Below are 25,877 nucleotides of genomic sequence, written 5' to 3' on the forward strand. Positions count from 1 at the left end.
TAATCAGCAACCCATACAAATTTGTAGGACATACAAGCATTTGGGGGTAACTTGGTGACATTTGAAGTGAAGACCATTTTGCAGACTAAGCCTTCTGAAATCATACAGAAGAGAAATTTAGATTACTTCTGAAGAAGTATAAACCCATAGGTAGATACAACAATATAATGTCACAGGAGGTACAGATACGTAGATGCACAGTGTTAGGCAGTGTCAGAATCCTACAAAACATGATTTGCAGAACAATGTATAATCACACAAAAAAGTTAACTAAACATTGCTAACCATTACAAACCAATATGAATGGTAATACTGAGTTCAATTTTTATAAATACATATTAATAATACAGGAAGAGAAAGGAGTAGAAGGAATTATACTAAGTTGTTAGAAGATTATCAATAGTTGTTAGGGTTACATTTTTTTCTTTTGTGAATCAGTATAGTTTCAACAATAACTACATATTATCTTTTGATAACAGTAATGTATAATTTCAACTAAGTTATAATCATTATTTAAAAAGTGAGACAGTGACAAAATCTCAGAGATTTGTAGGATAGTATATAGTTGAAAAATGTACTTGGATAATGCCTTCTCATTATATTAGATTATGTCATTAATATCTTCTCAAGTTGGATATAAAATAAATTTATGAGTCAGATTTGAAAGGGAAGTTGGAAATGGGGTAGGAAAAATAAAGAGGAAGTAGAAGTCAATGCAAGTCTCATACAAGTCTTCCGTAATACAGGAAATCACTGTCAATGAATGTTTACTTTTACATTGAATCAATTAACCTGAGAGAGACTATCAGTATGTTTGAATCCCTACATTGCTAATGGTAGCATCTCAGCTATGTTTGGGTTGACTTGGAAAAAAATCAATGCCAGAATAAATTAATATTCATTTTAAGACATTCTTAAAAAGTAGAATAAAGTAACAGATAATCACTTAAAAATTTTTACTTTAAGTTCTGGGATACATGTCCAGAATGTGCAGGTTTGTTAACTAGGTATATACGTGCCATGGTGGTTTGCTGTACCTATCAACCTGTCATCTAGGTTTTAAACCCCACATGCATTAGGTATTTGTCCTAATGCTCTTCCTCCCTTGCCTCCCACCCCTCGACAGGCCCCAGTGTGTCATGTTCCCCTCCCTGTGTCCATGTGTTCTCATTGTTCAACTCCCACTTATGAGTGAGAACATGCAGTGTTTGGTTTTCTATACCTGTTAGTTTGCTGAGAATGATGGTTTTCAGCTTGAATCATGTTCCCACAAAGGACATGAACTCATTATTTTTTATGGCTACATAGTATCCCATGGTGTATATGTGCCACATTTTCTTTATCCAGTCTATCATTGATGGGCATTTGGGTTGGTTCCAAGTCTTTGCTATTGTAAATAGTGCTGCAATAAGCATACATGTACATGTGTCCTTATAGTAGAATGATTTACAATCCTTGGGTTATATACCCAGCAATGGGATTGCTAGGTCAAATGGTATTTCTGGTTCTATATCCTTGAGGAATTGCCACACTGTCTTAATGATTGAACTAGTTTACACTCACAACAACAGTGTAAACGTGTTCCTATTTCTCCACATCGTCGCCAGCATCTGTTGTTTCCTGACTTTTTAATGATCACCATTCTAACTGGTGTGAGATGGTATCTCATTGTAGTTTTGATTTGCATTTCTCTAATGACCAGTGATGATGAGTTTCTTTTCATAGTTTCTTGGCCACATAAATGTCTTCTTTTGAGAAGTGTCTGTTCATATCATTCACCCACTTTTTGATGGTTTTTTTTTTTTTTCTTGTAAATTTAAGTTCCTTGTAGATTCTAGATATTAGACTTTTGTTAGGTGGATAGATCGTGAAATTTTCTTCCCATTCTGTAGGTTGCCTGTTCACTCTGATTATAGTTTCTTTTGTTGTGCAGAAGCTCGTTAGTGTAATTAGATCCTATTTGTCAATTTTAGCTTTTGTTGCCATTGCTTTTGGTGTTTTAGTCATGAAGTCTTTGCCCATGCCTATGTCCTGAATGGTATAGCCTAGGTTTTCCTCTAGGGCTTTTATGTTTTCAGGTTTTACCTTTAAGTCTTTAATCCAACTTGAGTTAATTTTTGTATAAGATGTAAAGAAGGGGTCCAGTTTCTGTTTTCTGCATATGGCTAGCCAGTTTTCCCAGCACCATTTATTAAACAGGGAATCCTTTCTCCATTGCTTGTTTTTGTCAGGTTTGCTGAAGATCAGATGGTTGTAGATGTGTGGTGTTATTTCTGAGGCCTCTGTTCTGTTCCATTGGTGTATATATCTATTTTGGTACCAGTACCATGCTGTTTTGGTAACTGTGGCCTTGTAACATAGTTTGAAGTCAGGTAGCATGATGCCTACAGCTTTGTAGCACAGGGATCAATGCAATAAGAATAGCTAACTATTCTAAAAATATATGCACCCAATACAAGAGTACCCAGATTCATAAAATAAGTTCTTAGAGACCTACAAAGAGACTTAGACTCCCGCACAATAATAGTTGGAGAGTTTAACATTACACTGTCAATATTAGGCAGATCAAGACAGAATATTGACAAGGATATTCAGGGCTGAACTCAGCTCTGGACCAATGGGCCTAATAGGCATCTACAGAGTTCTCCATTCCAGATCAACAGAATATACATTCTTCTCAGCACAACATAGCACTTATTCTAAAATTGACCTATAATTGAAAGTAAAACACTCCTCAGCAAATGCAAAATAATAGGAATCATAACAGTCTCTCAGACCACAGTGCAATCAAATTAGAACTCAGGATTAAGAAATTCACTCAAAATCGCACAACTACATGGAAAGTGAACAACCTGCTCCTGAATGACTACTGGGTAAATAACAAAATGAAGGCAAAAATAAAGAAGTTCTTTGAAACCAATGAGAACAAAGAGACAACATACCAGAATCTCTGGGACACAGCTAAAGCAGCGTTAAGAGGGAAATTTATAGCACTAAATGCCCACATCAGAAAATGGGAAGGATCTAAAATCAATGCCCTAACATCACAATTAAAGGAACTAGAGAAGCAAGAGCATACACATACAAAAGCTAGAAGAAAACAAGTAATAACTAAGATCAGAGCAGAACTGAAGGAGATAGAGACACAAAAACCCTTCAAAAAAATCATTGAATCCAGGAGTTGGTTTCTTGAAAAGATTAACAAAATAGACCGCTAGCAAGACTAATAAAGAAGAAAAGACAGAAGGATAAAATAGACACAATAAAAAATGATAAAGGAGATACCACCACTGATCCCACAGAAATACAAACTACAATCAGAGAATACCGTAAACACCTCTATGCAAATAAAACTAGAAAGTCTAGAAGAAATGGATAAATTCCTGGACAAATACACCCTCCCAAGACTAAACCAGGAAGAAGTCAAATCCCTGAATAGACCAATAACAGCTTCTGAAATTGATGCAGTAACGAATAGCCTACCAACCAAAAAATCCCAGGACCAGACAGATTCACAGTCAAATTCTACCAGAGGTACAAAGAGGAGCTGGTACCATTCCTTCTGAAACTATTCCAAACAATAGTAAAAGAGGGACCCCTCCCTAACCCATTTTATGAGGCCAGCATCATCCTGATATCAAAACCTGACAGAGACACAACAAAAAAAGAAAATTTCAGGACAATATTCATGATGAACATGGATGCGAAAATCCTCAATAAAATACTGGCAGACCGAATCCAGCAGCACATCAAAAACTTATCCACCACAATCAAGTTGGCTTCATCCCTGGGATTGAAGCCTGGTTCAACATATGCAAATCAATAAACGTAATCCATCACATAAACAGAACCAATGACAAAAAACACATGATTATCTCAATAGATGCAGAAAAGGCCTTTGATAAAAGTCAACACTGTATCATGCTAAAAACTCTCAATAAACCAGGTATTGATGGAACATATCTCAAAATAGTAAGAGCTATTTATGACAAACCCATAGCCAATATCATACTGAATGAACAAAAGCCAGAATCATTCGCTTTGAAAACCGGCACAAGGCTAGGATGCCCTCTCTCACCACTCCTATTCAACATCGTATTGGAAGTTCTGTCCAGGGCAATCAGGAAACAGAAAGAAATAAAGAGTATTCAAATAGGAAGAGAGGAAGTCAAATTGTCTCTGTTTGCAGACGACAAAATTATATATTTAGAAAACCTCATCGTTGGCTGGGCGCCGTAGCTCACGCCTGTAATCCCAGCACTTTCGGAGGCTTAGGTAGGTAGATCACGAGGTCAGGAGATCGAGACCATCCTGGCTAATATGGTGAAACCCCGTCTCTACTAAAAACACAAAAAATTAGCCAGGCATGGTGGCACGTGCCTGTAGTCCCAGCTACTCAGAAGACTGAGGCAGGAAAATCGCTTGAACCTGGGAGGTGGAGGTTGCAGTGAGCCGAGATCATGCCACTGCACTCCAGCCTGGGCAACAGAGCAAGATTCTGTCAAAAAAAAAAAAAAAAAAAAAAAAAAAAACTCAGCCTAAAACCTCCTTAAGCTGATAAGCAACTTCAGCAAAGTCTCAGGATACAAAATCAATGTGAAAAAATCACAAGCATTCCTATACAACAATAATAGACAAGCAGAGGGCCAAATCATGAGTGAACACCCATTCCTAATTACTACAAAGAGAATACAATACCTGGGAATACAACTTACAAGGGACATGAAGGACCTGTTCAAGGAGAAATACAAACCACTGCTCAAGGAAATAAGAGAGGACACAAACAAATGGAAAATAATTCCATGTTCCTGGATAGGAAGAGTCAATATAGTGAAAATGGCCATACTGCCCAAAGTAATTTATAGATTCAATGCTATTCCCATCAAGCTACCATTGACTTTCTTCACAGAATTAGAAAAAAAACCACTTAAATTTCATATGGAACCAAAAAAAGGGCCCGCACAGCCAAGATAGTCATTTTTCATAATAAGAAGACATACTAAAGTATGAATGTTTGTATTCTGCCCAAAATTCTTATGTTGAAATCTTACCTCCCAAGGTGATAGATAATATTGGGAGATGTGGCCTTTGGTGTGGTGATTAAGTCATGAGTGGATTAATGGTCTTATGAAAGAGGCCCTAGAGAGCTGCCTTGACCCTCCTACCATGTGATGACATAGTGAGAAGGCATCATCTTTGAATCAGGAAATGGTGGAACTCAGCAGACACTGAGTCTGCTTGTGCCTCAATCTTGGACTTCTAAGGCTCCAGAACTGTGAGAAATAAATTTCTGTTGTTTATTAGCTACTAGTTCATGGTATTTTGTTATACCAGTCCAAATGGACTAAGACAAGAGGAAAAGAGGGAAAAAGTATTTTAGCAGTTGTAAGAAAAGTAACCACATTTCTTTCTTTTAACCTATAATATGACGCATCAAGGCACAGAAAAAAAGGATATCAAAAAATAGTTAATTTTTAGGTCTATTTTATTCAGTAGCTAACTTCCTAAAAGAAAATAATGATTCTTTCTAAATATTGCTGTACTAAAAACAATCAGCACCATATTAAAGGTACTATTATTTATATTTGTTTACATGCCCACAATTTTAATGTATTTTGGTAAATTTAACTTGCCAAAGCATATATATACATTTAACCAATTCTAAGAAATTTATATTTATGAAGATAATTGTAATAATTCAATAAGATGATCATTTACAGATTGATTATCTAATTTGTAGGTTCCTTAACACTCTTTTTTGTTCCTTTACACCAGGAGCCTTTTGATAATTTTGCTAAACATAGGTGAAGCTGGACAGGTACAATAGCATTGAGCCTAACAGTTTCTTTTTCCAAGATGGTACATTGAGAGTTTAAAATAATCAAAAGGGACATATACTTCACATTGATATAGGGTGGCTAGTAATCAGAAAAAAAGACAAAGTTCTTGCTCAAAAAGGGTAGCTTATGTCTTAGACAAAATCAAAACATATTTGGAACCAGCAGGTAAAAGGTATGATTTTGAAAGACTTGGGAAACATCTGTTGATAAAGAATACATTAAGAGACCTTTTTAAACATTGCTTTTTAAATAGAAACGTGTGAATATACTAACAAAGGGTCAATGGCATGACAGTAATGCTAAAATGCATCACTATACAAAAGAGCTCCCCAGGAAGGTAGAGTACCTAATGAAATGAAAAAAAGAATAAAATATGGAAAATTATTATTGATAAGTAAATGTTTATCATCCTACCAGTCTACAAAAACACATACATGACATTTTCCCCTATTTAGGGCTACTCTTCAGTTTCTGGTCTTAAAACATTTTGCCTTGGCTGGGACAAACTTGCCATCTAGTGACAATGACTGGTAATTACAGAATATGAAAATAGGCCCAGTGCACTCAAACATACATGCATGCATGATCTCAAAACTGAAACCAGCTTTTTATAAAAAAGTTCAAAGAATATTTATAGAGTACACATTACAAACTGTGGCTTGAAGATAAAGTGATGGATAAAAATTAATATGGCTCCCAAAAGTTGAACGAAGAAGACAGATATTATTCAAATAATCACCAATTAAATGTTAAAATAACAAATATAACAACTTCTACAGCACTCTGTGCCACATTAATTAATGTAATACTCATAAGCCTATGAGATATACATATCATTATCTCTATTATATATTTGAACATTGAAAAAGACAGATTAAGTAACTTCTCCTAGGTCACATAACAGAGCAGGTATATAAATCTCAGATATTTTGCCTCTCAAGTCTATGATTTAGCCACTTCTGAATATAAAACTAAAAGTGTAATAGTGTGGCAAACACAAGCAAGGTAAATACATGATTGGAAAACTTTCATTCATTCATTTATTCATCTGTTTATTCACTCATTCAACAACTACTTATTGCATACCTATAACGTGCCAGGTACTACTTTTGGCAGGTGAACAAAGTAGCAAACATGACAAAAACTCTTACCTCATAGAGCTTCTAACAAACAAATGCACGTGCACACACACACACACATTAGTATATATTTTGGGGCTGTTATTTTACAAGAAATTAATAAGGCAAGGTTAAGTTATTAGTGTTGGTTAGGTGAGGAGAAATGCTATTTCCAGAGATGGCATGAAAGTCCTCTCTGAGGAAAGCACATCTGAATAAAAACTGAGTAAACATGAGGGATATGAGCATCTGGAAGAGGAATGTTAGAGAGATAAAGGACATTTGAAAAGATTCGGTTTTTTATTTTATACCCCCACTCCCACTGCTGCAAGAATGACTAATGGGGGGTGCTCATGAAGCAGAGAAGTAGGACATAAGATGATAGAAGTACCAAGAAGGGCTTTATATGACAAGAGAAAGACTGTAGGTCTTATTCCAACTGTGATGGGAAGCCAATAAAAGGTTGCAAACAGGAAAGTAATCTGATGTAATTTATGTTTTTAAAAATCACATGAGTTAGTGTGAGGAAAATACACTGTAGAGTGCCTAGAATAGAAGCGAGGAAACTAATCAAGAGGCTATTGGAACATTCCAGGTAAGAGAAAATGATGAAGACATATGATGAAATCTAAAAGTCAACCAAATCACATTTTCCAATAATTATAATAAAAGGGAAATTGTATGTGTCATAACAAGCCAAAGAGTTTTCTGAAAATCAAATGAAAGGTCACATTTAGATGAGAATCAAGAAAATCATTAGGGGTGTGGCCTATGCAGCATATTTGAGTATAGAAAGACAAAAATATGTGGGTGTCTTTAAGAAAGTATAGTTTAGCTTCCATGTAGCATAAGGTGAATGTAAGGGTGAAACATAAAGAGTCAACTAAATGGAGGGACTTAAAGGATTCCGGAGATAAAAATTAGGCTCTGCTTTATTTTATTTCTTTTCTCTACTTTCTTAAGCAGCTTTCAGCCCTATAACAACTCAGTTACATACTGGTTTTCATCTACTGTGATATATGTCTTTTTAATACCTTTGAGAGTGTTGGGCACAGAAAATGTTATTCAGGCATGACTAATAAATTGCTCAAAGACCACCAGACTATGACACATCTATGGTCTGACAAAGGTAAGTTTATCATTTTGCAGCAGTAAAAAAAGACTACACAATTGATGGGGCATTTTGCCAAAACAGATGAAGGAAGAGCCAGCATTCTGATTCATTTAAGAGTAAGGTGGGGTTTAAATAAAATTTAAATGAACAGTTCTTTGATAGGCTGAAAGAATAGCCTGGCTGTATTAGCATAAAGCCTGGACTAAGAAGTGGGTATAGGGTTCTGTTTCCTTGAAATCTACAAAGTTAAGATGACTGTGGAATCTTGTATCTGAAAAACATTATCTGAAGCTTTGCACCTGGGTGGAAAATTGAGGCTGCTTCTCTGTGTCAAAGTACCCACATAGCTTAGCTCTTCAGGCAATAGTGGGGTGTTCCTGTCTCACTAACATAATTTCAAAAAGCAAAATTTCTGACAGTTTGTAATTTTTACAGAACAAAGTTTTTCAATGCTGTCACTGGAGTTAATTGACAAAAGAAATCATTTCATACTTTTACACCACTATAGCTTTTAGTATATTTTATTAAAGTTTAATTTTAATACCTTGGTTTTGATATGAGTCAGGAGCATCCCTCTCTTGTGACTGAATAAGGGGGAGATCAGAGGTACTTAGAGAGTTAAGTGAGGGAAAAATTGTCATTTTGTTCAGGCCACTTGTAAGTTAGTCCTAAGAAGTTTGAGATTTCCTGGAAAATAATTGACATCTAGACCAGCAAATCACTGTAGGTGGTAGCTGGACTCTATGTGTATAGGGCCATACCCAAGAGGTTTATCTGTTGGGGTGAATGACTCAGAGGGGTTAGAGGCAGGAACTGAAGAAGAATCGTAAGAGGTCAACCAGCAAGTATATTACTGATATCATGAGACTATATGGCATAAATGCTGCAGGGCCCTCAAAAGGACAACTAAGGTGACCCATATATTTGGTTGCCTGCCTTGATAGGACATCAACAGCAAAGAGAGAACTACTTTTCCCAGTGGATTCTAAAGCAGAAAGAAAAAGAGATGAAGAAAATGAAAGAAAAGACTACGTCACCTTCCCCACCATAGGTTCCCTGAGCTTAGAGAAGGGTGTATATTTAGAAGTGAGATTAGTATTAAAAACTGAACTGAAAGTGAATCTTAATTATAAATAATAGATTGTTTTTAAAATCAAAATAAATAGGAATGCTAAGGGTGACTGCAGAGAAGGGAGATCCAATAAAGCATGTTGAAATTGTAAAATAGTTTGTTTTGTTTTCTGATTTTCTTTTGGTAGCCCCATTAGGTCCAGCTAATTCAACCTTTCAGCATCTGTATGTAGATGCTTTTATTTCTATAAGATAGATTTGAAAAGCAGAATTACTGGATCAAAAAGTATGGTAACATTTATCCAAATAAATATGAAGATTTACTTTTCTAAATGCCTGTGACAAACATTTGCCCTCATGCACACACCTACATTAAATTTTATAGCTATGTATAATGTTTTCCAGTTTGAGAACTGAGAATTGGTATATTCTTGTGGGGTCTAATTGGCATTCCCATTACCAATAGTAAGGTTAAACACCTTTCCATATGTTAATGGGCCATTCAGGTTTCCTTTTTGTAAAATCACCTGTTTATATTCTTTAAACACATTTTTCTATTAATTTGTCTTTCTTTTTCCAATTTTTTGGTACCAGCTGTATTTTCTGACGTTTTTACGTAAGAGAAGATAATCTAGCATTGTCACATTACAGAAAAACAACTACTTATGACAGTACCATTTATCAGGTGAAACATTTTCTCTAGGCATCTTCTGAAATGTTTAGTACATTTTAATTTTTTGATTGACTAATGTATTAGTCTGTTTTCATGCTGCTGATAAAGACATACCTGATACTGGGAAGAAAAAGAGGTTTAATGGACTTACAGTTCCACATAGCTGGGGAGGCTCCACAATCATAGTGGAAAGCAAGGAGCAGGTCACATCTTACATGAATAGCAGTAGCCAAAGCGAGAGTGCTAGTGCAGGGAAACTTTTTTAAAAACCATCAGATCTCATGAGACTTATTCACTATCACAAGAACAGCATGGGAAAGACTCGCCTCCATGATTCCTTTACCTCCCACCGGGTTCCTCTCACAAAATGTGGGAATTGTGGGAGTTACAATTCAAGATGAGATTTGGGTGAGGACACAGACAAACCATATCAACTAATACTTAAATGTATAGGTTTATATTAAGAAAAATAGCCTTCCAGGTTGCATACATTAAAAAAAATGTGCCATCCAAATGGATTCCAAATTGTAAATGGAGTTAAGAAAGTATTTTAGAACAGGAATATTTTTCGGGTGCTATTTCCCTATCTTCTCTAGATTCCATCCCAGAACAGAAGACATAAGCAAGCTATACCCCATAAGAAAAGGCTAATTACCCCTGCAATAGCCAAAAGTTCACATAAATCCTGCCTCTGTTCATTTGTTATTTAAAGGCAGAGACTAAGTCTACAAATAACTATGTGTGAGATCCACACATAATCTAATCTATCAATAAATAACAAAAATAATATTGACATTTTAACTTTCTGATCATTTTGCATAGAAATCTTTAGACAGGTTTCCTAAAGTCATCATGCAAACCACTGAATATGTAATCCCTGGTTGTCAGCAGTGTTTTTTATTTTCTTGATAATAACATTAATTTATTCACTGATAAATGTTTTAAAACATATGTCAAATATTCACTAATATATATTTTAACATTCAATGATCATTAATCTATTTGTAAGGTACTATGTTAATGCTTGGAAGATATACAGACGAATATAGAAATTCCTGTCTTCAAGGAGCTTATTAGTAATAATGAAATTATGTACATAATTATTTATAATAAAATATATTTATGATAATTTTATAACAGAGGTGAAAAGTTCTACAATAACAAATGGGATGAAGACATGAATTCTACCTTGGGAAAAAAGAAAAGACTTTGATGATGTTTGTTTTAAGTTACTAAGTAATTGGATGGCTTATTACACAGTGACAACCAAAACACTGAAAAATCTAGTGTTCAGGTTTTTTGTTGTTGTTGTTGTTATTGTTGTTTTTGTTTCCTTTGCCAGTATGGGAAGAGAATAGAGGAGGCAGAGATGGTGTTGACTGACAATGAAGAATTTAATGAGAAAGTCATATGTAAGCATCTGAAGAAAGTCAGGGAGCTAAGCATGCAGATATCTGTAGGAACAGCATCCCTGAAAGAGAGAATGGTAAAGGCAAAGGTCTTAGTTATGGGTCTGAAGTGTTCAAGCACAGCCAGAAGGTCAGTGTATTTATAGCAGAGGGAAAGAAGAGGGGAAGAATAGATGAAGTCATAAAAATAATATACTGGAGGAGTTAGATCATGTAAATTCTCACAGATCAAAATAACTTCAGCATTTACTCTAAGTGAGGGGGAAAGCTACTGCAGAGTTTTGAAGATTTAACAGAATCACTCTAGCTGCTGTGATAAAAATATATTGAAGAAGCAATATATTTTTAATCATGTTAAAATGGACTTTTCATGGTAAAAACTAGTCCTAAGCTATCAATACCTTTAAGAGAAAAAAGTTATTTACTACTTATGCAAAGTTTGGTGGGAGGGAAGTTATTCTGTAGGGGAGCTGTCATTGATGTGGTGAGTTGGTACTCTAGGCTATGTTTAGCTTGAGGTTCTATCACCTCAATATGTGGCCTACATGATCACTGTTTTCATACCCAATCTTCCATGCAATACTCTGGAATTGACACATGTTGCTTTCATTAACACCCCATCTACCAAAATGAATCACATAGTCCCAACTAACAACAAGAGAGTTGGGAAATGGAAAGGAATATATGAAATAATTGTTGAGTCTTACTGTGTCGTCCAGACAGAAAGGGCAAAAGTAGGAGACTAGCCATGAGGCTATGACAATATTCCAGATAGATCATGGCTGCTTGGACAAGGATGGTAGAAACAGTGGGAACAGTGAAAAATAGTCAAATTTTGAATATAATTTGAAGGTAAGATAAAGGGAATTTGCTGAATGTCAAGGCATGAGATATAAAAGATATAAAGGAGTCACAGGTAACTGAGATGGGAAAAACTGAAAGAAAAGTTTTGAATACTATCAAGAGCTCAGTTTTAGGCCTGTTAGTTTTGAGATGCTTATTACACAACATTGAGAAAATGTCAAGTAAGCAGTTCAATATATGGATTGGGAGTTTAGAGAAGAGGTTCAGGCTGAAGATATGATTTGGTAGTCATCAATGTGTGGTTCTTAAAGCCATAAAACTGAATGAGATGACTTGTCCAGTACAAGTAGGGCAAAATGAGAAAAGATTGAGCATGGGAAACTCCAGCCTTTGGAGGTCAAGGAGATGAAGAGCAATCAGCAAAAGAAACAAAGAGAGTGATCAGAATGATAGGAGAAAAACTTGGCAAGTTTGGTGTTCAGCAAGCCAAATGAAGGGAGTTTGGTTTATTGGTTGTTTGTAGGGTGTTTTTTGTTTGACTGTTTTTAGAGCAGAGTAAACAACTGTGTTTGGTGAGCAATGCTTATAGATCAAGTAGGATAAGATCTAAGAAATTACCACTGGATTTAGCAATGTGTAGAGGTCACTGATGACCTCGAGAAGGGCAATTTCAGAAAAACAATTGGGATACAAATCTGATTGGAATATTCTAAACAGAATATGGGAGAAGAAAATTGGAGACAACAAATATAAACCACCATTTCCAAGAGTTCTGCTATTAACAGAAAGAAATGGAATGGTAGCCAAAGAGGAAAGTGGAAAGAAGAGAGTTTTTAAAAATTATTTTATTTGCTTTTGGCTTTTTTAAACAAAAGGGTAAATAATTGCATTTGTATACACTGATGAGAAAGGCTCAGTAAAGTACATGAGAAGGCAGGAGATTTACTTCCCGAGAGAGGTTAGCTTAACCAAGACTCACAGATACAGTTAGGATTAATAGGTATGGGAATCCTCTATAACTTGGTTCACTTTTTTTCCCCAAATGAGATTAAGAAGCAAGGTCACCATCTAAGAATGAAAGTGGGAAGGATTCAAGGTGACAGGAAATAGGAGAAAGCATGGAGTCAAAGATTTACTAGAGTAAGGCAATGAGAGAAAGTGAGATCGAACAGTAGGAGAAGTGGTGTGTTTTGGAAACCAAGGGAAGATAGCGTCTCAACGAAGAAGTGGTCAAGTATGCCAAGCATTGCTGAGAAGCTAAAATGAGAACTGAAAAGGCCTATTAGATTTAGTAACTGGGAGGTAACTAGTGACCCTAAGAAGAACTACCTTGTGGACTGATGGGATCAGAAGTCAGGAGCACACTTTGGAGTGAATGGGAGATGAAGAAATAAGAATAATTATGTCTCTCTCTTTAGAAGCTTGGCTATGAAGGGTGAGGGGAATGCTTTTGGCTAGAAGCCAGGACAAATATTGGGATCAACCCTTCTCCCTATTGTAGTTCTCCAAAGCATGCCAGAGATAGGACCCAGCAGTTTTCCTGTCTTCATGCGGAAAAATGGGGAGTTTGGGGGTAAAAGGGAAGATGTAATAGGGAAGTACAAGTAGCCATGTGGTCAAGTGAGGAAAACTAGGGACATAAACCAAAGGAAGCAAAAAAGGTAATTCTGTCTGAGAAGGTACTCAGTAACATGGAGGAACTGATGAAGATGAAAATTAACCCAAGAAAACCACCACATTAGCGGGGACCTCCATCAACACACAAAACCCCTGAGAATAAGAATGAGATAAAGAACCAACAATTGCTCAGTGAAGTCAGACACTCCCAAGCTCCACTACTTTTCCCGCCTCCCATTCCCCAACATAGAAAATCAAGACTGAAAATGAGTTAAATTCACAGTTCTCAAACTGTGCTAAGGTGCCCCAGGTACCCTTGCCACCTTATAGAGGTACTATAGGATATTTTAAATATTTGAGGGAAACATAGCAATACTCACTGTTTACCAGACACTACCTGAACTACCAGCTTGAGATGTTTCTCAATTTGAACATTAGATACTGTTTAATTCCTTTTAAGAATGTCATATATTTGAAAAGCTGGGTTTTTGGCTGTTGCTCTCATATAAAACAAGTGCTTCCTGGAAAACCAGAGTGGAATAGGAAATAAGGTGGCATCAAGGGGTGCTAGAAAAAACTGCTGGGACAATAAAGCTACCAATAACTGAAAAAGTTTGGCAACTTCTGGGCTAGACAAAGAGGAGGGAATGAGAAAGGTACTTCTCAGATACGACCACACATACCTACACTCAGACACAGAAAAGATTAGAGTGTATTACATATTCCTGCAATCCTTTAGGTCAAGCCTGATATGAGGGGAGTGTAAGAAGAGACACCTTAATGGAGTTTGGACTTGACATCTCTAACCAACTGTACTGATAGCAACTGAAAGTGACTAGAAAATTATGACCTCTACCTGAGATATTGTCAAGGAAAGGATAAGGTAGATTTCATTGAGTACAACTAAAAGCAATTAAGTAGAGAGAAAATAAAATTCTGTCATGTAACTATTCCACTCAGTCATGATACCTGAATTACAGTAGATAATGACCATTAAACTCTGCCTGATAGCCCCTGTAGTAATTCCTAACCGTAGGAGGCAGTGGTAAATATAAAAGTGAATTCCTTCATGCATTCATTCATTGAATAGATATTTACAGAATGTGCACTATGTCTGGAACATTTTACTAAACATAAGAGTCACAGGGAGGATGTGACGGTCATTTTGCATGACACCTGTCACCAACTGATCCCAACAGTTGATTTGGCTGATCTGGCTAACTAGCTGGGTTCCCCTTCCTTCCTAACTGCCCCATATATGTCTCTTCCAAAGCTGCCCACTCGGCTGAGGAGGATGACTTACCCCCATAAAGGAGGATGATTTTTCTGTAAGGGCATACGTGTAGCAGTGCTCCCTTGCTAGAAGCTCCAAACAAGTCTTCAAAGAACACACACAAAAAAGCCGCTGAAGGATAGTGTTTAAAATAGCATGACCACTCCAATCGGTTTATAACACTACCCTATTTTTTCCAAAGCACTTATTATTCTCTGAAAAGAACTTTATTTACATATTTATTCTGTCTTGATTTTAGAAAGTAAGCATTGAGAGGGCAGGAATTGATTGTCTTCTTCTTCTTCCTTGCCTCAACTTCTCAACATCTGCATGTCCCATGACTCCATTATGGGCACAATTCTATCTATACCCTTTGTCATTCTTCAGATATAAATACCATATAGGTTGATGCCATACCTCGTGGTAACCTTTCCCAAGAATGCCAAACACACACATTCAACTTCCTACTTGAAACAGGGATACTGAATAGATACCTTAAACTTAATATATGTTCCTCTATTCCCAATGTCCCACTACAGTTTCTAACCTAGCTATACTTGGTCAATCTTCTCACATTCAGTAAATGGCATCATCATCTACAGATGGATAATATCTAGCTTAAGCCAAAAATCCAGAATTTATCCTTGCTTACTATTCTTCATCTGCAAGTTCCTATCAACTACTTCTAAAACGTATCTCAATTCCAGTTCCTTCTCTACATGTCCACTTTCACCAAACTATTATGGTAGTGTTTTTCTCCAGACTTCTACAGTAGTCCAACTGGTCTTTCTGCTTCTGTTTTTTGCATTGCAACCGGAGAAATTTTCATACCTAAACTTTGATTCTCTCCCCTCAACACACACCTACTTAAAGAATTTGTCAGTTTCTAAATGTTCCTCAAATAAAAAGGGCTCCTAACAAATCTACAGCGTCTACGTGGTCTGGCTCTACCTATCTGATATTTTGGTGGGTGTGTGGGGAAGGTTCTTCTCATGTTTGTCTTCTAGTTTTCATTAATATCTGTCTCTCTCCTTTTCCCCAACCAATGCGGGATGACAGCAGATTGCTGGTATACTGCTTACTGCTGTATCTCTAACATTTATTTAAGTGGCAAAAAGAACTGTAAGAGGAACTCTGGTTCTCCAGACTGTAGCAGCTACATCTAGCATAAAACCTCTCTTTAGAATCCTCAAGGCCCTCTCTGTATGGGGTGAGGGGTACATTCCTGACCCTCCGGGGATGATCCCTGCCTCACTCCATTCAGAATCTAGGCAGAACAGTGGATTAGAATGTAGACCCCCAGTCAGAACACCAAGGGTCAAAACTTAGTTCTTCCACTTTCTAGCTGTGTGATTTAACCTCTTTGTACATCAGTGTCCTCAGCTGTAAAATAGGGAGAAAAGTACCTACACCTACACACACACACACATACACACACACACACACACACACCCCTACACACACACACATACACACACATGCAATAATTTATTTATTAGGTTACCTCTCCCTAGAGGCTGCCATTTCTGCGAAATGAACCCTGGCAGGGGCCTATCCGTCTGCTAAATGCCTACTGATTCAAGAAAAAAGTCTGAACTCTCAACGTTTTGCCCCTTAAACTGAGTTCTCCTCCCTACAATGGTGTCTAATGAGTTGACAGAATAACTGGCTAGCTTTATATTTTACCATCTAAATACTGTAAGAACATACCCGGTATTTCCACACCCAAGTTCTCCTCCTTGCTATTCAGGCCAATTCACTTTCCCAAGGCCAGGGATTAAGAGCCGCACGGTCAGCTCCAGATAGCGCTCGCCGCCGTGCGCCCCGCCCCGCCGTGCGCCCCGCCCCGCCGTGCGCCCCGCCCCGCCGTGCGCCCCGCCCCGCCGTGCGCCCCGCCCCGCCGTGCGCCCCGCCCCGCCGTGCGCCCCGCCCCGCCGTGCGCCCCGCCCCGCCGTGCGCCCCGCCCCGCCGTGCGCCCCGCCCCGCCCTGTGACGGTCCCAGCCCGCACATGCGCAGTCGTGAGTCCTCTTGTCCTTGAGCGTCAACCTTCTTTCCCTGAAGTGGCTGGGGTTCCTGTTTCCTTCTTTGATTGACAACTTGTGTTAACCCTCGCACATCTCTGGGCCAATTTTTGCTTGTAAGTCTTTCCGGAGACCCCTGGAATTTAAATCATTAGCACCGCGCCCTTCCCCGAAGAGTCTTCGAAGGGTTGCCGCTTTTCGGTGGCGCAGTTCTCGCGAGAAGGTGACTTTCTTTCTCGGTATTTCCTGGTTTCCAGAATCCTTAGCGCGAGGCGGAAAAAATATTTCTCCCAGCTTGTGTTGATGCCGCGATTTTGACTGAGACTTCTTCCCACGATTTCTGTTTTTGCTTCTCCAAGGAAAATGGCAGCTCCCGAGCAGCCGCTTGCGATATCAAGGGGATGCACGAGCTCCTCCTCGCTTTCCCCGCCTCGGGGCGACCGAACCCTTCTGGTCAGGCACCTGCCGGCTGAGCTTACTGCTGAGGAGAAAGAGGACTTGCTGAAGTACTTCGGGGCTCAGTCTGTGCGGGTCCTGTCAGATAAGGGGCGACTGGTAAGGGCGCGCCCCTCCGGAGTCTCCCGGGAAGGCATTTGGGAAGTGACCGGGGAGGGGGAGCGCTGACAAGAGTAAAATGGAAACGAGTGGGGAAGATGGACTTGTGTGATGAGAGCTCCCCCATCCTACCTCTTTTTTATCAAAATATCTGCTCTGCGAAGTGGAGTTTTAATCGGCTCGAGTCTGGATTAGTCATAGCACTGCAGAAAAGGGCAAGTGAGAACGACAAAGCAGAAGAATGGAAATTAGCTTAGTTATATTGAGTTTTCGGATCCATCCTGAGAGCCTCACAACTTTTTTGAATTTGGGGTTATTTCTCCTGGACTCAAGAGTATTCTTACAAATGTGCATCAAGGGATTTTTTAAAGTCCTACTTCATTTATAAGCCAATGTTAAATCGTTCATTAAAATAGAGGAGAAGCTACATTGGTGACTTGCGTAAATTAAATGCAGAATTTCAACTAGAAAAAGAGGCTTTTCATAAAAATTTCCCGATGACATCTTTTAGGGAACAATTTTTTAGGGCTGTTAAGAGTACCTGTGTAGGAATTTACACAATTACTTTGTTTTGCTTTATATCCAAAGATATTTTAGATTTCTCTTCATTAAAATAGGAATAGCGATGGTGCAAGACTCAGTGGTTTTAAAGTTTCCCTAGGTGATTTTAATGTTAATGTGCAGCCCAAGTTGAGAGTTACTGAATTAGAAGAAAGACCAATTTTGATCAGTTTAAATGTCACTTATGCCTGCAAATTAAAAAAAAAAAATTATATATGGCTCAATTTAAGTACATCAGGTCATCGTGTATCAGATTAGACAAAATTAGAATGTGCGATATAATTATTAAAGTAACTTTTAATAAGCATTGACCAGAGCTCTTCCTTAGCATAGTGATTCTTTTACTGTTGATTTGTGTTTCTTTTCTGATGGTTTTTAAAATCCGTATAATTTATGTTTAAAAATAGACTTCTCCCATTGAACATTATTACAAAGATAAAGCACAAAGGAAATATGCACCTTGAAGAACGATTTCTCTGTTGGTGAATGTTTTTAAACTACGCATTGTTATGTATAGAGGAAAGTTTAAAATCTTTAGATCTGTCATAAATGAAGGAAATAAATTTTTAGTTGGTTAAAAGTGACCCTCTGTGTAGAACAGGTCTTTAAACTTTTGGTCTTTTGAACTATTTGCATGTGTAAAACGTGTGTCTTTATATGATAGAGGTTGCATAGCTTTCATCTCAAGTCTGACTCAAAAAGTATTGAAAACCACTGGACTGAAATTAGTAATCAGTTAAATGGTCTTGAGTTTTCATCCTTTCCCGTGATTTTATTAACATGTCACATTACTCCACTGGTAAAAAGTCAGATTTCTTTGTGAGAAACTGAAATTATATTGGAAGTAATTTGTACCTTAACTCTGTTTCAGAAACATACAGCTTTTGCCACATTCCCTAATGAAAAAGCAGCTATAAAGGTATGACTTTTTCTTGACGATTAAAGTTGTCAACAGGATCCTCTTATACAATCTTGGTTCAGATAATGTTTAACTGTGGTTTTTAAGAAGCAAAAGCGTTTGTATTCCAACAGTTTCCCCAACAGACTACATTTGATTTGTCAGTTGGCAGATCTTGCCCAGTCCTTTAGTAGATTATCTATAAAGAAAAACTAACTGCGTATGTAATTAAAATAACAATTTCTAAATGATTTAGATTGATAAATATCTCTGTGACTGTTACAAGGTAAGATGTTTCAAGTGTTAAAAGGAGAATATACATTTCTTTATAATGCCAGGGAATCATTCACAGGAGGTGATCTTTTAGCTAGAAGTCTAATGATTAATTGGATTTTTTCAGAAGGAAACAAGTGGAGATGGGCCTTCTGGGCTTGCAGAACACCAAATAAAGCTGTGAGACATTGGAAGTTATAAGTGGAGCAGGAGCTAAGGGTTGAGATGGAAATGGAACTTGAAAAATAGATTTGAGTCTGGGAGAGAGGTATTGAGTTTGGTTTAGTAGGTGGACACTTGATACTTTTGAGCTGGCTCATAATATGATCAGGCCTGTTAAAGATATCTGGTATAGTTCATATCATGGATTGGATGTGCAGAATTATTAGAGGTAGGAGACCAAATGGAAGGCTGTTATAATGGCCAAGGCAAGAATAACTATCTGAAGAAGACAGTAAGAAGACAAAGGGGGAAGTAAATATATATTCAATAGAGATTGAGTTTGTAGGTTTTATAATATAGGGGTTGAGAGAGAATAGTTCAGGATATTTAGATTGAGGATTGAGTTATTTGGGTTGTTATATTAGCTGACATGAGGATCCAGAGGATGTTTGCAAAGGCATAGGATGAATTCACTTGTCATCTGTTAACTTGGAGGGGTCATTGGGCTACTTTTATGGAAATATTTAAAAATATTAATGAGAGCTGAGGCAAGGTGAAGAATGGAAAGATTCTTCAACCATGTGAATAGATATGTTTGCCCAAAGGATAATAAGCTAGGAGAGAAGAATGGGAAGGAGCAGTTAAAGTAGGAGAACTAGAAAGGAAATTATCACTGATGCAAAGAGAAGTGTGTTTTAAGAAGATGAAATCCTGTGATGATGCAAAATGAGGAATGAACACATCTATTAAAGTCTTTTTGCCATGAAACAATAGAAATGACCCAAATTCTCATCGGTAAAAGGAAGGGAAGCCTTAAATCACATTATATCCATATACTGGACTGCAACTGTCTGAGAATGATGTCAAATGGTATGTGTTAATATGGAATGATAGCCCAGATAGAGTACATGAATAAAGTTGTGAAACATTATATATGATGTAACCTCAGATTTTTTGAAACTAATAGTATACATGTTAGCATATACACAGAAAAAATATGGCAGAACTATACACCAAAATGTTAAAAACATCTTTCTCTGAGAGTAGGATTACAGAGGGCTTTCATATTATATTAATATGTACTTTTATAATGGTAGGTAATTTTTTTTCAGAAAAAAAGTATTTTTAAAAATATATCATAATACATTGTAAATAAAGTATGGTAATGAAAAACGCATTGTTTTAGGGTCAAGAATAACTTGGAGGAGAGGACATGGAGCCAGTCATTGTCTTTGGAAATGTCTGTAGTGAAAGGAAGCAGTAAGAGGTTAACGGCAATATTGATAGGGCTTTTAGGCTAGAGAGCATTTGGCCTAATTGGAAAGTGATAGATTAAGAAAACAAAGGGAGAAATGTTCAAGAATAGAGTAAGTAGCCGAGTCAGGTAGGAGGAGTTAACATTAAAAATGAAAAACCATAAATCTTTGAAAATAAGAACATATGTGATACCCATTTGAGAAGAAGAAAGTTGGAGTAAGTCAGGTTAGATGACCTTCATTTCAGATAATCAAGGCTTCACTGATAATAAAGAGGTCTAAAGTTCATTTAGGGTCTTGAAAATTATTGAAACATTTTAAAATTAACTTTGTATGATGATGTAAGGCAGGGATCCTCAAACCCTGGGACACAGACTGGTACCCAGCCACGGCCTGGTACCTAACCACCACCTGTTAGAACCTGGGCCGCACAGCAGGAGGTGACTGGCAGGCTGAGGAAGCTTTATCTCTATTCAGGGCGACTCCGCCTGGCTGCCTGAGCTCCACCTCCAGTCAGATCAGCAGTGCCTTGGCCCCTGTTGTGAACTGCACATGCAAGGGATCTAGGTTGCGCTCTCAATGAGAATCTGACTAATGCCTTATGATCCGAGATGAATCAGTTTCATCTCGAAACCATCTTCTCCCCACCCCCCACCCCAGCCTGTGGAAAAATTGTCTTGCACAAAACCGGTCTCTGGTTAAGGCTTGTACTTTCATGTGTTCAAAAATATTAAGTACCTACTATGTGCTAGATGCTGATTTAGGTTTTGGGATTATATGTGAAGACAAAGATGATTATAGTTCATATTCTCAAAAGGGGAGACAGACAATAAATAATAAACTTTAATATTTTAGAAGATGATAAATGCTATGGAAAAAGGACAAGTAGAGCAATAAGATCAGGAGTGCTAAGTGGGGAGAGGTCAGGCTGTAGTTAGGGTTATATTTGAACAACAATTTGAAGGATGCGAAGGGAGTTAGCTAATGAAATTTCTGGGAGAAGTACCTTTGAATTAGAGGAACAGCTGGAACAGGGGCTCTAGGATGTGACCATGCCTGTCACGTTGTTCAAGGAAGCCACTGTGACTGGAGCAGACATAGTGGGAGTGATCTGTGGGAGCAGGAGTGGGAGTGATCATTGGATTTGAAGTCAGAGAAGTCATAGAATCTATATTATGTAGATTATAGTAAGGAACTTAGATTGCTGTCAGTAAAATAGGGAGCCATTGGAGCAAGGGGGTGACCTTGGTATTTCAAAGAATTGCTTTTGCTGTTGTGACTAGACTGAAGGGAGGGAAAGGTAGAAACAGGGAAATCCGTTAAAATATTGTGGTAATTCAGTCCAGAATTGATGGTTGCCTTGACCACAATGGTAGTGGTTAGCGGTGATTAGATTCTTTATATATTTTGAAGGTAGAAGCAAGGATTTCTTACTGTATTTATTCCAGTAGGTTTTGGGGGAACAGGTGGTGTTTAGTTACATGAATAAGTTCTTTAGTCGTGATTTCTGAGATTTTGATGTACCTGTCACCCAAGCAATATACACTGTGCCCATTGTGAAGTCTTTTATCCCTCACCCCCACTCCCAACACTTTCTCCTGAGTCCTCAAAGTCCATTGTATCATTCTTATGCCTTTGGGTCCTCATAGCTTAGCTCCTACTTAGGAGTGAGAACATACGATGTTTGGTTTTTGATTCCTGAGTTACTTCACTTAGAATAATGGTCTCCCATTCCATCTAGGTTGCTGCAAATGCCATTATTTTGTTCCTTTTTATGACTGAGTAGTATTCCATGTTATATATATATATACCATAATTTCTTTATCCACTCATTGATTGATGGGCATTTGGGCTGGTTCCGTATTTTTGCAATTGCAAATTGTGCTGCTATAAACGTGCATGTGCAACTGTCTTTTTTGTATAATGACTTATTGTCCTCTGGGTAGATACTCAGTAGTGGGATTGCTGGATGAAATGGTAGGTCTACTTTTAGTTCTTTAAGGAATCTCCACACTATTTTTCATACTTACTGTACTAGTTTACATTACCACCAGCAGTGTGAAAGTCACTTTCACCACATATTCTGCCAACATCTATTATGTTTTGATTTTTTCATTATGACCATTATTGCAGGAGTAAGGAGGTATTGCCTCATGATTTTGGTTTGCATTTCCATGATCATTAGTGATGTTGAGCAGTTTTTCATGTTTGTTGGCCATTTGTGTATCTTATTTTGAGAATTGTCTATTCATGTCCTTAGCCCATGGGATTGTTTTTTTTCTTGCTGATTTGTTTGGATTCCTTGTAGATTCTGGACATTAGTGGTTTTTTTGGATGTATAGATTGCAAATATTTTCTCCCGCTATGGGTTGTCTGTTTGTTGATTGTTTCTTTTGCTGTGCAGAAGCTTTTTAGTTTAATTAAGTCCCATCTATTTATCTTTGTTTTTGTTGCATTTGCTTTTGGGTTCTTGGTCATGACGTCTTTGCCTAAGCCAATGTCTAGAAGGGTTTTTCTGATGTTATCTTCTAGAATTTTTATGGTTTCAGGTCTTAGATTTAAGTCCTTGATCCATCTTGAGTTGATTTTTGTATAAGGTGAGAGATGAGGATCCAGTTTCATTCTTCTACATGCGACTTGCCAATTATCCCAGCACCATTTGTTGAATAAGGTGTCTTTTCCCTACTTTATGTTTTTGTTTGCTTTCTGGAAGATCAGTTTCCTGTAAGTATTTGGGTTTATTTCTGTGTTCTCTATTCTGTTCCATTGGTCTATGTGCCTATTTTTATACCAGTACCATGCTGTTTTGATGACTATGGCCTTATGGTATAGGCAAACAGGATTTCTTAATGACTTGGATATGGAATGTAGGAAAGAAGCATTAAGGATGATTACAAGATTTTTGACCTGAATAATTGGAAGAATGGAGTTGCTATCAACTGAAATAGAGATGGCTCCTGGTGGAGCACATTTGGGGCTGGGGGAAAGATTAAGTGAAATGTTGAATTTGAAATGTTTGTTAGATATCTATGGGGCGCTATCCATTATTTGAATATGTGTTCCTTGACTTCAGGACAGAAGTCTGTGCTGAAATTATAAATTAGTGAATCATTAGCATACAGATTTAAAGTTCGGATGCTGGATTAAATCACCAACATAATATGTTGAGAGAGAGAGGAAGACCAGGACAAGAGCTCTGGAGCATTCTAACATTAAGAACGTGAGAGAAGGCACAAGTCAAAGAGATGGAGGAGTACAAACCAGCGAGCTAGGAAGAAAACTAAGAATGTATGAAGTCTTGAAGCCAAGTGAATGACATGTATCCAGGAAGGAGTGATTAACTATGTTAAATGCAACCAAGTGAAGACTAGGAGTTGATCATTAGCCCAACAATGCAAAATTTGTTGTCTATGATAAGCAGTCTCAGTAAACTTATTAAAGCATTAACCTGATTGAAATAGGTTTGAAACTGAATAGGCAGAGAGGAGTTGTAGATAGAGGGTTTAGATAGCTTGTACAGAGTTTTACTGCAAAACTAATAATACAAATTTAGGATGGGAGAAATAGGAGCATGTTTTCATACTGATACGGATAATCCAATAGAGGACAGTAAATTAACAGTATAAATAAGATCACCCTCCACACCCCTCACCACACACAATTCCAGAGCATAGCTAAGTAAAGACCCTTGAGGAGATGAGAGGATGGAATTTAGTATATAAGTTAAGCAGCTGGATTTAGATAGGCATGTGGATAGTTAATAGATGATAACAGATAGCATGCATATGCTGGTAGATGGGGGGTTATAGTGGGAGTCTGATATTCTCATGTCATCAATTCTGTTGTCTCAAAGTAGAAAACAAGGTGCTAAGCTAACGGAATACAAGAAAAATATTGTGAGGTTAAGGAACAAGGAGAAAGTACAAAATACTCTCTGAGATATAGGTGGAAAAAATAGACTAAGATTGTAATAAGTAATTTTGTGGCATAATTAAAAATCACCCTGAGATTTGTGGTAGTTTTTATAAATTGAAAGTGAGGCCAGGGAAATTTGTTAGTTTGTTTTCTAGCCATTTTCAGCTGCCTGGGTATAAGCAGAGCTGGCATAAAGTGGGATTTAGCTAGATTTTTATTTTCCTAAGTTATAGGAAGTAGTCCTTTAATAAGTAATAAAGGCTTGATAGCCTGAGATTAAAAATAAATTAGGAAATAGTCAAGGAACTGTTTACAGCATTAGCAAAAAAAAAAAAAAGTATAAAAATTGGTCTCTAACGAATCATTTTTGGTACAATTGTGAAATGTTTACTCTTGTTCTTTTAACTGAAGGCATTGACAAGACTCCATCAACTGAAACTTTTAGGTCATACTTTAGTCGTTGAATTTGCAAAAGAGCAAGATCGAGTTCACTCCCCATGTCCCACTTCAGGCTCTGAAAAAAAAAAAAGGTATGTAGATCAGTAAATCATACATTTTTGTTACATTTTTAAAGTGTGTGTTTTTTTAAATCAGTTATACAGTTATTGTATTGTTTTCAGACTAGCAAGTAATTGGAAGAGGAATGACAGATTTTTCCATTAAACCTAGTACAGTAAAACAGTATGTTTATTTTTGCTGCTAATTGTGCATTAGGAACCAGATTTAATATTATGGGTTAATCATTGTGAAGTGGCAAGGGAGTGGGCTGAAACGAATTCATCTTCAACTTTCAATGGAGGGAAAATAACTAGTATGAAGTCTTTGTATCAGAGATATAACAGTGTCATGAAATCAAGACTGGCATTTTGTTTCTGGCTGTGACTCTTCGTAGTACAGCTTCACAAATTTGCTTTACACTAGTGGTTCTCAAAGTGTGGTCCCTAGATCAGCTGTATCATCTGTAAACTTGATCAAAATACAGAACCTTGAGCTTTAACCCAGTCTTACTGAATCAGAAACTTAACTGAGGGATGGAAGGGATGGGAAAATGTTGTAGAAGTCTATGAGTTTTAATAAACTCTCCAAGTGATTATGACACACATTAAAGACATTTGATTACCACTGTTTTATACCATGTAAACTTTAGTTTTATTTTTGTTCAGTGACAATTATGCCATCTTCATAGTCTTGCTGTGAAGAGTATATGAAAATGTGTAGTGCTCAATGTAATAATAATACAGAAAGGATTCAGTGAAGGTTACTTTTAGTTAATTTTAGTTCCCTTCCCATTTATTGGTGTTTGCTTGAGAAATACT

At 37.3% G+C, this 25,877-nt stretch overlaps 1 protein-coding gene, 1 long non-coding RNA gene and 1 pseudogene across 4 annotated transcripts in view, besides 2 other annotated features; 2 read left to right on the forward strand and 1 right to left on the reverse strand.

The window, feature by feature from the left end:
- The window catches only part of RNPC3-DT (RNPC3 divergent transcript), a 108,529-nt gene extending 91,787 nt beyond the window's left edge, over positions 1-16,742 (reverse strand). For all 3 annotated transcript variants that reach the window (NR_168321.1, NR_168320.1, NR_168319.1), the window contains exon 1: positions 16,630-16,742. This is a non-coding gene — a long non-coding RNA (RNPC3 divergent transcript). The remainder of the gene's footprint in view (positions 1-16,629) is intronic.
- On the forward strand, positions 14,796-15,113 carry RN7SKP285 (RN7SK pseudogene 285; annotated as a pseudogene).
- Positions 16,725-16,824: a silencer, noted in NCBI's record as "silent region_1128". NCBI's record gives its function as "represses an Ori minimal core promoter by ATAC-STARR-seq in GM12878 lymphoblastoid cells {active_cell/tissue: GM12878}" and the evidence as "EXISTENCE:reporter gene assay evidence [ECO:0000049][PMID:35858748]".
- RNPC3 (RNA binding region (RNP1, RRM) containing 3) overlaps positions 16,933-25,877 on the forward strand; it is a 29,541-nt gene continuing 20,596 nt past the window's right edge. Inside the window, exons 1-3 of the mRNA NM_017619.4 lie at positions 16,933-17,496; positions 18,929-18,976; positions 24,973-25,091. Of these exons, the coding sequence (NP_060089.1) occupies positions 17,305-17,496; positions 18,929-18,976; positions 24,973-25,091 (359 nt within the window). The 5' untranslated portion in view covers positions 16,933-17,304. The remainder of the gene's footprint in view (positions 17,497-18,928; positions 18,977-24,972; positions 25,092-25,877) is intronic.
- Positions 17,145-17,384: an enhancer, noted in NCBI's record as "active region_1413". NCBI's record gives its function as "activates an Ori minimal core promoter by ATAC-STARR-seq in GM12878 lymphoblastoid cells {active_cell/tissue: GM12878}" and the evidence as "EXISTENCE:reporter gene assay evidence [ECO:0000049][PMID:35858748]".

Source organism: Homo sapiens, chromosome 1, assembly GCF_000001405.40.
Source record: "Homo sapiens chromosome 1, GRCh38.p14 Primary Assembly".
Taxonomy (NCBI): Eukaryota; Metazoa; Chordata; class Mammalia; order Primates; family Hominidae; genus Homo; species Homo sapiens.